This window comes from Homo sapiens, chromosome 11 (genome assembly GCF_000001405.40).
Source record: "Homo sapiens chromosome 11, GRCh38.p14 Primary Assembly".
Lineage (NCBI taxonomy): Eukaryota > Metazoa > Chordata > Mammalia > Primates > Hominidae > Homo > Homo sapiens.
This window is the reverse complement of record NC_000011.10, coordinates 68,730,051-68,744,377: the sequence shown is the minus strand read 5'-3', so window position 1 is coordinate 68,744,377 and position 14,327 is coordinate 68,730,051. Positions and strand designations below refer to the sequence as shown.

The 14,327-nt window shown below is 45.4% G+C and overlaps 1 protein-coding gene across 10 annotated transcripts in view; it reads left to right on the top strand.

The window, feature by feature from the left end:
- TESMIN (testis expressed metallothionein like protein) overlaps nucleotides 1-14,327 on the top strand; it is a 46,725-nt gene that overhangs the window by 7,143 nt on the left and 25,255 nt on the right. For 3 of the 10 annotated variants that reach the window (XR_007062530.1, XM_011545402.2, NM_004923.3), the window contains 2 exons: nucleotides 1,984-2,060; nucleotides 5,590-5,678. Coding sequence is in view for 8 of the 10 variants with exons in the window: in XM_011545402.2 (XP_011543704.1) it covers nucleotides 1,984-2,060; nucleotides 5,590-5,678 (166 nt within the window). In the remaining 2 variants the exon portion in view is untranslated. Of the gene's footprint in view, nucleotides 1-1,983; nucleotides 2,061-5,589; nucleotides 8,247-14,327 lie in introns of those variants that run through there. The other 7 variants (XM_017018588.2, XM_047427921.1, XM_047427924.1 and 4 more) reach the window with 5 other exon arrangements.

Sequence of the window (14,327 nt, the reverse complement as noted above, 5' to 3'; positions counted from 1 at the left end):
ATTTTAGGATTGTGTTTAACAAAAGTGAGATGCTAATTCTTGAAAATTAGGCCTCTCTATGGGGACTGCACGTAATCACATTACCCTAGATCTTGAGTTAACGAGAGAATATTCACTGTCAGGTGATTCACTGACCTTGCCTATAACTTGAAACTAATAGCAAATCCAGATGTAGTTTCACTGGCCTTTGAAGTCCAGGGCAAAAAGACAAAGCGTGACTCCCTGTCTCCCCATTGCATCCTGATTGTCTCCCTGTCCAGGGACAGAATAAATATCCTCAAGACATTGACTCTTTTCACAGTGAAGAAGCTGAGGTTGGAGCTTTGGCCTCATCTCCTATAGGTTCATGCTGCATCTCTGATCTCTACAGGCAGGGAGAAGGTCTTTCCTGCTCCCCTTCCTCCTGGCACATGACAAAATCCTAGTGCCTTAAGGTCTGCAGGAGGAGAGAGTTTATATAGTGTTTTCCAGTTCAAGTTCCTTATCATATAATCATACTCCCCCCACCTGCATCTCCTTTGTTACACTGTGCACATATTAAACATCACAATAAAGTACGTGCATCCTGCTGCCTGCGTCTGAGATTCCTCACTCAAAGGATGCCTAGGCCTGGAGGAGAAAAAGTGTTCAGGTGCTTCTACTTGAACTCATGAGCACAGAGGCTTACACACCCTTAGTGTCTCAAGAATGTTTTTCATGGCACTTGTAGACCAAATAAGTACCTATCAGTTCCAGTACTAAGTAGTTTAGTCTAAATAGCTTAGTAAGTATTTATATCCAAACAACTTAGTAACCACTTGAAAAAAAAATACACATAAATCGAAAGTAGTGCTGGCTGCCGTGGCTCACGCCTATAATCCTAGCACTTTGGGAGGCTGAGGCAGGTGAATCACTTGAGCTCAGGAGTTCAAGACCAGCCTGGGTACCATGGCGAAACCCTGTCTCTACAAGAAATACAAAAAAAAATGAGCTGGGCTTGGTGGTGTGCACCTGTTGTCCCAGTTGACTGGGGGGCTGAGGTGAGAGAATTGCTTGAGGCCAGAAGGTTGAGGCTGAGGCTGCAGTGAGCCAACATCGCACTACTGCACTCTAGCCTGGGTGACAAAGTGAGACCCTGTCTCAAAAAAAAAAAAAAAAAAAAAAGTAGTTCCTGTGGTATCCAATAGATGTCCCTGGGCTTTCTTTAAAATCATAAAATACCAGCCTGGAGTGCTGGCTCACGCCTGTAATCTCAGCACTTTGTGAGGCCAGGCCGGAGGATTGCTCGAGCCCAGTAGTTGAAGACCAGTCTGGTCAATGTGGCAAGATCCTGTCTCTACAAAAAATGAAAACATTAGCCAGGCATGGTGGCACAGGCCTGTAGTCTCAGCTACGTGGGAGGGTGAGGCAGGAGGATCACTTGAGCCTAGGGGGGTCAAGGCTGCAGTGAACCGTGGTAGTGCCACTGCACTCCAGCCTGGGCAACAGAGCAAGATCCTATCTCAAAAAAGCAAAAAGAAAAAAAAAAAAGAAAACATAAAATATCCAGCGAAGCTGGGTATGCCTATAGGCTCAGCTACTTAGGAGGCTGAGGCAGGAGGATTGCTTGAGCCCGGGAGTTTGAAGCCAGCCTCGCAACATAGCGAGACCCTATCTCAAACATTTTTTTTCCTAGTGAGTTTGCTGTGGCTATGCAGGGCACCTTGGCACACAATTTGGGAACCAGAGCACTAACAACATTGTTTTAGCCTAGTAGAGCAACCCTGGAAGCTCAGATCAAGTAGCTTTATGACCATCTCCCCAAAAAAGAAAAGAAAAATGAGTATATTAAGTAAAATACTGACTTGAAAGGTTTTAGAGAATAAAATGCGTAACTAGCATCAAGATAAGTTGAAATAACTTTGCACAGGACATGTCCATAACAGACTTTTGTACTTTCATCCACGTGTAAGTGGAAGAGGAACGATAGATGCTACAATTAATTTTTAATTATCTTCCTTACAGATGTCCCTAAACCAATGACTGCTTTAGTAGGGAGATTTTTGCCAGCATCAACAAAATTAAATCTCATTACACAACAAGTGAGTCATTGTTTTAATTTAAAAAATACAATTTTGCATTATTGTCTCTTAAAATTTTGATTGTTATGGTTGGAATTACTCAGGAAATATAATTTATTTTCCATTTAAAAGTCAAAGTGAAATACTTACCAAGTGTTCAGTCCCTGCCCCACTGTGTCAGACACTGTGGGCTGGAGTCAGTCTCGGACACAGTTATTCTTCACCAACTTGATGAAGCCCTTTTGCCCTTTCCTGCAGCCTCCAGACCGGCATTCTGCCACGCTTGCTAACTTGTCCTCTGTGACCCCACCAACAGCATATTCCACCTCCTCGGTCCAGAACGCTCCTCACCCTCCTCAGTGTTATGGAAATACTTTTTTAAAGTTTGCTTTTATGATTACACCATGATATGTGTATATTACATAAAAGTAGAGGACAAATACGCTCTTTTTCCCGAGTTTTGGTATGAAGTGTCACCTCCCCGGAAGAGCCTTCCCTAACTCCCCAGCGTAGACGTCCAGCCACAGTCACAGTGCTGTCTCCTGCTCTGCATGGCACTCTCACTGGCTTGCGTTTTGTGGTTGGTTGGTTTGTCTGCATCCACCCACAAGAATGCAGGCTCCATAGGGGCAGAGGCCATATGTGTCTCGTTCATCTCTGTAAAATGAGAATCAGCACAAAGCCTGGCCCATGTAGGGCACCCACTCACCCTTCAATAAGGGCAGGCACTGATCTGTGAGGTAAGTGAACCTCAGAAAACAAAACACACAACTCCGCCCTCCTGCAGCTTACATTTTACTGCAGGAGATAGACAATTAGCAAATCTAATAGGAAGCCAATTACATCATCTGTTAGGAGAGCAGAGGAAGCGGATTGGGGGGATGGGGATTTGATGGGGAAAAAGCCTAGTTGCAGGTTTAAAAAAGGTGATCATGGCTCCGTTGTGAAGGTGACATTTGAGCAAAGCCTTTAAAGAGATGAGGGAATGAGCTCTGTGAAGCAAGCTGTGGAACATCCCAGGCGGGCCTTGGATAGGGTCATGCCTGCTGTGGTGGCAGCGAGGAGGCCACTGGGCCTGGGATAGTGTGAGCTAGGGGAGCAGGGCAGGGAGGAAGTCAAGGCACTGGGAGGATTATGGCTTCCACTCTAAAGAGGGGCTGGTGGGGAGGAGGGGTCAAGGAGAACGGTGAGCCTGTTATGGCAATAATCTCGGGGAGAGATGATCGCTCAGATCAGGTGGTGGCAGTGGAGGTGGCAAGAAATAGCTTCTAGGGATACTTTGAAGGTTGAGTCAACAGGATTTGCTGATGGATTGGATGTGGGATGTGAGAGAAAGAGAGGAGTCAAGGATGCGCCCAAGGTTTTCAGCCTGGATGATTGGAGAGATGGAGTTTCCATCAACAAAGATGAGATGGTACAAGTTTTTCAAAGGCGTCCAGGAGTTCCGTTTGGATATATTAAATTTGGGATGCCTCAGAAGATGTTGCGTAGGAGTTTAGAGTGAGGAAGGGCTGGGCAGGAGGGATGAGATTGGGAGTCCTAGTGTATAGATGGCGTTGAAAGCCATATGAATAGATGAGATCTCAAAGGAAGTGAGTGTAAATTGAATTAGATATTTGTTGAATGAGTGAGTAAATACTTCTCAAGTGATACATTGGCCAAGATAAAAGAGAGTGTTATCAGTGCAGGAGGTGAGTGTAAGTCGGGATCTGGCGAGCACGCAGATGCAGTCTGTGTTGGAACCTCATAGAATCCTCCTACCGTCTGGCCCCCTCCACGCTGCTGGCCTTCCTTTCTCTGCTGTTTCAGCCACCAGTCCAGAAGGCACACATTGTACTTGCTCTTTCACCTCTAAGATCTTCCATGAGAAACACCCATTTGGCCACAACTTGCTGTCTCCCCACCTTCCCCCACCTTTCCTTGACTGTTTATTATCGTCCCCATTTTGGCCCCTTATCCAGCATGGACCTCAAGGACAATTCTTTTAGCAATGCATTTGCTGCTTCTCGAGAATCGTTTGCTTCCTTGCCAGACCCCAGTTCTGTATATTCTTTGGAGTGTTACCACCCAAAGTGTGGTCCATGGACCAGAACTGTTGGGATCACCTGGGAGCTTGTTAAGAAGTGCAGAACCTCAGGTTCCACCCCAAACCTGGGATTCAGACCCCCTGAATCAGATTTGCATTTTCATAAAGGCCCCAGGTGACTTGTGCACACAGCAGAGTCTGAGAAGCCCTGCCTCCGAGTTGACTTCCTTCACTCCAAGAGGACCAAACATTGCTGAAGAAACTCGTGGATTCCAGCATAAAGTTGCCCTGGATTTACAACCTATGGAGTACATAAGAGATGTCTCTGCTTTACTTTGGGGCTAAATAAGCAAAGGGGGAAAAAAAGTAATTTTACCTGGTTTATGCGAATAATTGCCTCAATCCTGAGAACTATGACATCCTTTCTCCAAAAGAATGCAAAACTCTTCAGACTGACATTTGAAGACAGGGGCCTAACAATTAGGTGTCCAGGTGAGGGCAAAAGGGACACCTGTCTCAGGGCCTTGTGAGCACTCCCTTCTGTGCACGAGCAAGAGGAGAGCAGGAAGGGGTTTCCCGGGAAGAAGCCTGGGGACTTAAGACTGATTGTAAATGAGGCAGTGGGACCCAGGAGGCTTTCTCAGTGTCTTCCAGCCGTAATGGATGGTGATGACACACAGTTTAAACTGGGCACAGAATGGAGGAAGTGCAGAGGATGAATACAAGACGCATTTTTTTTCTAAGACTATACTTCTTAAAGCTTTAAAAATAAATTTATTTAAAGATACATTTCCATTTTTGGACAGAGGAAGGGACAAGGATATGAGGTTTAATTGTGATATATGCAAATAATCTGAAAACCTAATTGTATTTAGTACTGTTAATTTCTTCAAGCTACTGAGTAGAAGAGAAGTAGGCCAGTGATGGCTTTGCTGCCTGTTCCTTTCCCTGTGAACAGCCTCCACAGGCCATGCTAATGAGTAACATAAAGAAAGATGAGACCTGGGAAAGCAAAGAACATGGACAATGCAGAGATGATGACATTGCTTTTGAATTTGTTAAAACTGGTTACAAAATATTTTTTTGAATACATGAAAAATCATGGTTGCCAACAAGACTTCAAATGTCAAGATCTGTATAAGAACATTTCTAGTTTATGGAAATTTGTCATTAAATTTATTTCATAATTGATAGTCTATAAAAATGAAAAGGAGTTCCATGACAATACCCCTGGCCAGCTGAGTGACAGCTATGGACGGCCTCCAGCCCGTGGAGGCCAGCCCTGCATCTTTGCACACTTCCAGACATCTTTGCACACTTCCAGACAGGCTGTGACACACCTCAGCACTAGACCTTCCGAATGTCAGTGGATTCCTTGTGGTAATAAGGCCAGACATGGTTATAAAGGGATGGTGATGTAAACCTTTAGGGAAAAAAAGAATCATTTTTATCTAGGGGGCTGGCTGACTGGAACTTTAAAAATCCTTGCTAATTCAAAATATCCTTGCCTTTGACTTTGAACAGCTTGAGGGAGCCTTACCATCGGTAGTCAACGGGTCTGCTTTCCCCTCGGGATCAACTCTTCCAGGACCACCAAAAATAACTTTGGCTGGGTAAGGATTAGAAGCAATACATTGTCACTCTAATGTAATAATTTAAGAGACTCTTGGATACGTTCACGATTTTCTTCTATACTATAAAATGAGCTTCACTGCACACCTTCATGACTTCTGAGAAATGTTTTTACCATCAGCAATGCCACTAACGGTGTTGCTGTCTGTGTCTGGTTTCACTGGGGCTGCAAAGGCTGCTGGAAAGTCTGGCCCATAACCTGCATCTGTCCCTGTCCTCCTGTCCGCTGTCCTATGTTGGTGTTTCTGAGGCTTGTTGCCATTTATAGCTCTTTGTCTTCATTCCATGTTGATTCAAACTGTACTGGCCTCTCTTTTTTGCTGTCGTCCGTGGAAATAATGGTGTGGCAGCCATGCAGCATGAACGGGGGGCTGCAGAGTGCCCTCCAGCTGCCTCCGCCCGCTGCCTTCCATGCTGAGTTGGCTCGAGCTCTATGGCAGGTGCTAATGCATGATCTGTCTTCACATCTCCAGGTGGACATAGGCTGCACTTATCTGGGACCTCATCTTGCTATTTCTTGCCTGTCTTGTGTTTATAATCTTGCTATTTCTTGCCTGTCTTGTGTTTATAATTGTTGCTAATTAAACTAATCAGCTGGTTGAAATTATCAGGTTAACATTTATGTATTAACAGTGGTTTGGGCAACCCTCTCCATTCGTTGAGCCCTGTAGTTGATTATGGAGATCAGCATATTCCTGCCTCCAAGAGGTGTTTGTTTGTTTGTTTGTTTTTTCTTGTTTTTTGTTTGTTTGTTTGTTTTGTTTTTTTGAGACGGACTCTTGCTCTGTCACCCAGGCTGGAATACAATGGCATGATCTCTGCTCACTGCAACCTCCGCCTCCTGGGTTCAAGCAATTCTCCTTCCTCAGCCTCCCGAGTAGCTGGGACCACAGGCGCATACCACTATACCAGGCTAATTTTTGTATTTTTTAGTAGAGACTGGGTTTTACCATGTTGGCCAGGCTGGTCTTGAAATACTGACCTCAGATGATCCGCCCATCTCAGCCTCCCAAAGTGCTGGGATTACAGGCGTGCCCGGCCTGCCTGCAGGAGTTCTTTGGGCCCACAGTCTAAGGCAAACACATACCCTGGGCCTGAGAGACAGCAGTCAAACACCTTACAGGATACAGCCCGCAGCCTCCAGTGCTTTCCAGGCTCCTGCAGAGTTCTGCCATCGGGCATGGCTTCGTGATGGCCTTGGTAAGTGTGAGGAGAGTGGTTTGGGGCTGGAATGAAAGGCCGTGAATCTGGAAACACACTGGAACCGATCAACGCTATCAGCCCTCATGGTCGCTGAAGGGCGTTGGTTGCTCCTGGGCACCGCTGCTTCAGTTTCTGCAGTGGCTCTTTCAGCTGTTGTAATTCTGTGCCTAGGCTGTTGACAACTTTTGCTGAGTTGGACAGAATAAGACTGTGGGCCATGCTGCTTGCTTCACTCTCTGGGTGTGATGGATCGGTGAGGGTGCAGTTGCTATGATTGTAATTGGTCATCTCATCATGGCTGTTAACATTTCTGGACCAAACAAAAATGACTTCAGCTACTTCCAGATTCTGCTGATACATTACACAGGATGATCTAAAAGGCTACAGTTCTGAAGATACTCATCTTTCTTGTAATCTGGGGGCATCTGGTCAATAGTATTGCCTCTGTGCTGTATTGTGTCTAGAACATTCAAGGACATTTGATACTTCTCATACTTTAATTGCGTGCTCTCCCAGTTGCAGCACCCTCTGAGGCTTCTATGTGTTGCAGCCGATGGGCATTTGCACAGAGCAGCAGTCATGACAGCGTTTTCAGGGCAGCTATTTCTCCTTTTCCCCCTTTTCCTCTCCCCCGGCTTCCCATTCTCCTCCTCCTCCTTCCTCTTCTCGTCCCCTCCTCCTCCTCTTTGTTCTCCTCCCCCTGCTCTTCTTCCTCTCTCCTTTTCCTCCTTCTGTGTCTATACTAGATTATTTTCAATCAGTCACATGTTTTTCTTTATTTTGAATGTTACAAAATATTTCTCTATTGTAAACGGTGTGCCAGGAAAAACATGAGATGTGTATTTGTATTTTTTATGCACATAATTACTTAATCCAATGCCTCTCCACTTAATTGGGCCTGATGATTTTTATCTCGACATCTGCAATACTGATGATATACTGGAATCTCTACCAATTTATTTTTGGTGGTAAGAAAGCAGTCAGAGAACGTTTTGCTGGTTATTTCATTCCGTGTGAGTTCCCAACCAAGACTGTCAGCCCAGTGTGGTTCAGCCATATCTAACCTATAGAGGCCATAGAAGCAGTTCAGCTTAGGCTGGAGGCCAGCAGGCTGAGTGTGCGAGCTGACCCGATGGTCATTTGTTAGGGTTGGGGGGTGAACTGGCTAACTTATTAACTAGCTTATCATATTAATAAAAACTCTTTAATACAAATCCTTGTCCTGACACTCTGTAGCTTTAATAATCCTATTACCAATCTGGTAATAAATGTGAATTCTGACACATTGTTGATGCTACTGGTTTTAGTAACATAATGAACATCATAATAAAGAATATTCAAGAGTCCGCTTCTCTGGAAATTTTTTTCCTAAAGATGAGGTTATCTTGTTGTGGTGTAGTTTGTTTAGAATGCTTTTCTGAGGCAGAGTTGTCCACATCTCTTCTAACTCTTTAATTTTTAGATGGGCACTGAGAGAGCAGTCCATCTGGAGCCATGGAAGTGAGTTTCCACTTAGTGTCCACTGCAGTCAGAGGCCCTCACTGCCCCTGCACTCCGTGCTCATTCCTGATGGGTGTCTTTACTGGCGCTGTTATTTCAACTGGGTCATCCTGTTGAGTAATAGTGAAGAAACCTTGCCGCCTTAAAAGTTGATGTCAAGTTCCACCTCCTTCAAAAGCATTTGGTTTTCACTTCTTCCATCTGTGCCGAACTATGCTGCCTCTGAGTTCCTGCAGTGTTTACAGTCGGTGTAGCACAGTGTGCTGGTTGATTATTCTGAGTTCCTGTGGCATTTACAGTCAATATGGCACCATGTGCACAGTCCGTATAGGACAGTGTGCTGGTTGATTATTCTCTTCTGTGCTCTAATGTTTCCATTGCCTATGTCTCATGTCCCTGCTGACTTGGTGGACTCCTCCAGGACAGGCACTGTATATTAAACAGATAGTTATCCTTGGTGTCCCCTGAAGCACTGACCACAGTCCTGGCCACACAGTGATTTATAGTAAATGCCTGCCGGCCTCCTCCTGACTCTGTAGATACTCGTGGGCCTGTCACCCTCCCTCCACAGTTACAGTGGGTCCCCACTGGACTGCCTCCGCAAGCCCCCACACCACTTCCTCAACAGAACAGTTTTCGTTCCTCTGGACAGGAAGTGCCGGGCCACCCTGTGCCCCAGCTCAGGGCAGGTCTGAGAGGGCCGAGGGCAAGAGCAGTGAAGTAGCTGTCAGAGCCCCCCCTCTGAACAGGCCCAGGTCTGACCCACAGGTGGACAGGCCAGGTGGCAGGATAGCTAGACCTGCCACCTCTAGGCACCCATGAGGGCAAAAAGCTGTAACTGTTCTGTCTCTAAAGGAAAAACAAAACTAGATGAATTCTCAATTAATACAGCATTCAGCAACATTGTCTTTACCTCTAAAATGGGAGCTCTCTCCAGAAGCAGTCAAAGTTAGCAGCTTGCCCCCATGTCAGGTGCCATGAGCTGTTTCCCATGGGGAGTGGGATGGGTCACTAAACAGATGCACAGGTGGTGAGAGCAGGGGCGGAAGACCAGAGCAGTGAGGTGAGGGCAGGCCAAGTGGGGGAGGATTTGGAACTGACCTCAGCCCCGACAGCCAGCCAAGACTGCTGAGCGTGCGGGCGCTCGGAGCACAGAGGACAGGGCGAAGACTTTGCCTCTCTTTAGGGCGTTTGTATTAGTTACCAACCCCTATGTTCCATGAGATGGCGCGAGGCTGACAGCAAGCACGGACTGTGTGCCAGGTGCTGTTCTAGCTCTGGGGGAAAACCCAAGACTAAGATGCAGCCTTGCTCAGAAGTGGCCAGTGCGTTGCAGAGATGAGGCCTGTGTACATGACCTCAAAGAGCACACTGACAGAGATGCATGCCCCCACTGGGCACAGGGACAGCCCTGTCACAGAATTCTAAATTAAATGCTATATTCGTTTAGAATTCATCTAGTTTGGTTTTTGTCACATGGTGTTTTGTACACGTGCCCCTCCTTGTCATCACAGCCTATTGAACCACTTCCATTGCAAATGTTCTGAGCTCCTTGGTGAGTGTCTCTTCTGAGCAATGCTTGGGAACTTCTCCCGATGGTTTAATGTGCAGCTGCCCTCACATTTAGCAACACCCAGAGACACGTTAGAGGAAGAGTTTGTTTCTTCTCTAATGCCCCTGAAGATGACTTCTGAGCTAATCGCCAAATGCAGTTAGGAGGGAGTTGTAATAATCCCTTCCTAAAATGAGGAAAGTCCCCAATGATCACATGGCACACTTAAGTGATTACTAACATGCTTTGATATTGTTAGTAATATTACAGCGTGGACTGCTTTAGCACTGGTATATCTGAAGATGAACGACGCTTCATCTATTGTTCTTTAATTTGTACTTCCCATTAGCATTCAGATTTTGGCGGGGAAAGAGCTGTTCAGTGGGGAGAGGAGCACAAAAAATAGAGATTTAAATAGGTCAGGGGGAGAAGAACTCCAGGAAGACATCTTGGGAAGGGTGAAGAGCCTTAGGACCCTGCTCCGCATGCACACTGGCTCCCTGGGCATGTGTGGCTGTGTTTGGTGGTGCTAGTTCCATCACATTGGAAACTCCCACTTCATGATTAGGCATCTGTCAATAATACCTATAACGATCTGGTGTTGAGATTCTCACAATGTGTTGAAAAACACCAGATGCTTAGCTAATTCTCTATATAAGGAGTAACCAGCTGAATACATTTTCTTTTTTAATCTTTATAGAGTAACTCTTAGTTCATGGGACACAAAGTCTAAAAAGCCATGTAACTGTACCAAATCCCAGTGTCTGAAATTGTAAGTAATCACAAATCCTTCATTATTAAATATGAAATAAGGTTACTTAGAAGTCAGTAAGTGGAGCATAGTCTAGAGAAACCGGAACGGCTAGCACTGCACGTGTTACAGTTACTTCTCAGCAACCTTGTCCTAATGCTCGTTGTCAACCAAAACAGCGAGAAGCAGCCACTTTTGCATGAAGCTGGTACGAATTTTTGGTATTATCTTGGCCAACTAATTTAGTCAAGATACTGGTGGCTCACACTTCAAGGGGCGTAATTTTTCTTGGGTTTTGGTTTGCATCCTCTAGCCCCTCAGACAAGTGCTAACGATGTCATTGTTGAGCGTTAACTGTAATATTTCCACATCCCATTTTTAAAAAGTTTTATGAATTGGTTTATTCTACATTGAAATTTTCTCAGAAAGTTCTCCCCCAGCCAGGAGGTGTGGTCAAGGGATGGTAGGGCCAATTGTCACGTGGAGTCGGGGGCTGGAAGTAGACGATGTGGCTGAAGTAGGAGGCAGACCTCATTGCCATGCTTGACAGCACTAGGGGCATCAGTTTCCTCGGCCACCCTGCCAAAGCTGGCATCTGGTGTCTGTGCTGTCTGTCCTCCCTCAGCTCTTGCTGTGGGCTGCTCACTTTCTGCTCTTATGTCTGCCTAGCCTTAAGTTACACGTTGAAAAGGGAGAACATGTCCTAGTCCCAATGTCTAACGACCCTAACCACAGTCTTCACGTGATTTTTCCATTACAGAGCTCCTGCTGAAGTCACTGAGAGCCCCAGTGATGGGACAGTGATGTGGGGGTGCACCAGTGGGTAGAAATCCAGAAGTCCGTGAAACTTAGTTCACACAACCAAAGTGGAAAAACAAATTGATTTTTAAAAAGTAATTGCAGACAGTCTAGGGTTGACTGTCTGAAAATGTTTGAGCTCTCATTGGTTTAGTCTACGAGGCCATATACTTCTCTGAACATTGGAAACGCCATGACATGACTGATGGGGAAGCTAAAGACGCAGCTCTGGGTAAGGAGGAGGAAGGACAGTGGGAGAAAGCCTGGACCCTGTGACGCTGTCAAGCCAGAGCAGGCCTTCCCAGATGGAGATGTCAGATGTGGAGGAGGACCAGGTGGTGGCATCCAGAGGACAGAGCTGTGCAGGGTGGTGGGCTCCTGGGGATGGGAGCTGCTCAGCTGCTGGCTGGGTGTGGGGACCAGGCAGGTCAAATGACCATGAAGCCTAAAGCAGGGTGTAGACTGTAACTGGGGACAAAATGAGGTAACTCCTAAGGACTTGGAAACGAGATGACTCTAAGAAAGGCTTAACTTGAATTACGTCAGAATGGAAGGCCAAAGAAACAGCTTCTTGTCTAGAAGCAGCTTCCTAGCTTAATTGGTGACCGACACATGTAAGAAAGAATGTACCATCACGAGGGCACTCGGTCAGCATTGGAACAGAGGAAAGGAGGCCCAGAGTGTGTCCAGTGCTGGCAGGCGACAGAGCACTGTCTGTAAGGGCACGGAGATGCCTTCTCCACGAAGTGCTGTGTGCAGTGGGCAAGAGACTTAGAGCCCTCCCAATCTACTCGATGTCTACACACCTCGAATTCTGTGCTCAACATGCAACTGTCTGGCCATTGACTTAGCTTCCTAGTAGCTCCATACTGAGAAATGAGAGGCCTTGGAGAGACAACGTGAACATTTTGGGCACTGGAAAAGGATGTTATTTCCATCATGAATTGACGCATGGCATTCTGATCATGCATTGTGATTTGGCTGGAATCAATCCATCACTGAGAAACCAGTTATCTCTGGAAATACTAATAAAGTTTGTGTTCTGTTTTTGGAAAAGCTAAGGAATAGGTAAATTCACCCAAGCAGTGAGGTCTGTTGGTGGCAGACCCCTGACCTCGTGCTGGTGTCTCTCCATACATGCCACCTGTCCTCATGTGGAGACACTTGGTTCAGGTGAAGGAACATAAGCTGGGGATCCTCCGTTGCTTGCTTCACTCACACTTGTGGCATCATCGCCATCAATAGCTTTCCATTTCTTTTACCTTTTTATTCCCCGCAACTAAGTCATGAGCGCAAGGCAATGGAATGTAATTTTCTTAGCGTGAGTTAGTCCTACTCTCATGGGAGTCTCTGCTGTATACAGGCTATGAGGGATTATTATTATAATTGCCATCAATAGAGATAAAAACACATGACAGTATTTTTTTTTTTATTTTATAACTCTTTTTTCAGACAGGGTCTCACTGTGTCACCCAGGCTGGTGTGCAGTGGCTCAATCGTAGCTTACTGCAGCCTTGACCCCCTGGGCTCAGGTGATCCTCCCAGCTCAGCCTCCAAAGTAGCTGGAATTACAGGCATGCGCCCTCATGCCCAGCTAATTTTTTGTATTTGTTTTTAGCGATGGCATGGGTAAAAATCGATTACCACAGTCAAGGCTCCATGGAAAGTGATAGTACCCTGCTCCACTTCTCCCATAGTCTGTCTCCCTCCAAGAAGCTTCCACTCTTAGCAACTTCTGCTTTCAGGTTTCCTGGGGGAACCTCCACACCTGTAAAGATTGTCTCCTGCCCTCTTCCTGTGGTAGACAAGCGTTTTACTCGTTCATCTTCCTCCTCCACATAGAGCTGGAACTACCCTTTTTAGTTCCTCTCTTAGTTCCTTACCCCTGAAACTTGAAACAATGTACCCCAACCTTTTGTTGCTATTGTTTCAGTAGCCATAAAAAGTTGGGAATTATTTTTAACTGATAAATTAATCTGGATGATTAAAATGGTGTTGATGTAAACTGAAGAGGTAGTTAAATGCTTTCTATTTTATTGGAAACTTACTGATGGATTTTAAATTTTTTTTTTTTTTTTTTGAGACAAAGTCTGGCTGTTGTCGGCCCAGGCTGGAGTGCAATGGTGTGATCTCGGCTCACTGCAACCTCCACCTCCCAGGTTCCAGCAGTTCTACTGCTTCAGCCTCCTGAGTAGCTGAGATTATAGGTGCCCGCCACCATGCCCAGCTAATTTTTGCATTTTTAATAGAGACGAGGTTTCACCATGTTGGCCAGGCTGGTCTCAAACTCCTGACCTCAGGTGATCTGCCCGCCATGGCATCCCAAAGTGCTGGGATTACAGGCATGAGTCACTGCGCCCAGCCAGATTTTTAAAGTAATTAACATCTACCTTTCCAGCACTGTTACAAATGTCTTTCTTAATCATTTTTGTATATGTTAAACATTGATTTGCTACATCATTTTTTAAAGCAACTGTAAAATATACAACTTAAAAATTTAACGTAAAATATAAAATATAAAAACGTTTATAACAGGCCTATTTTGGTATAGGCAACAACATACAGGCTTGCGTTGGAGGTACTGCAGCTTCAGCTCCACAGCCACAACAGAGCAAATCACAATAAAGCAAGTCACACAAGGTTTTTGGTTTCCTAATGCATGTAGAAGTTATGTTTATATAACTATAAACATGCTGTAGTACAATCAGTGTGCAATAGCATTCTATCTAAAAAGTACATACCTTAATTTAAAAACACTGTTTCTAGGAAATGCTAACAATCATCTGAGCCTTCAGCGAGTTGTCATCTTCTAGCTGGTGGAGGGAG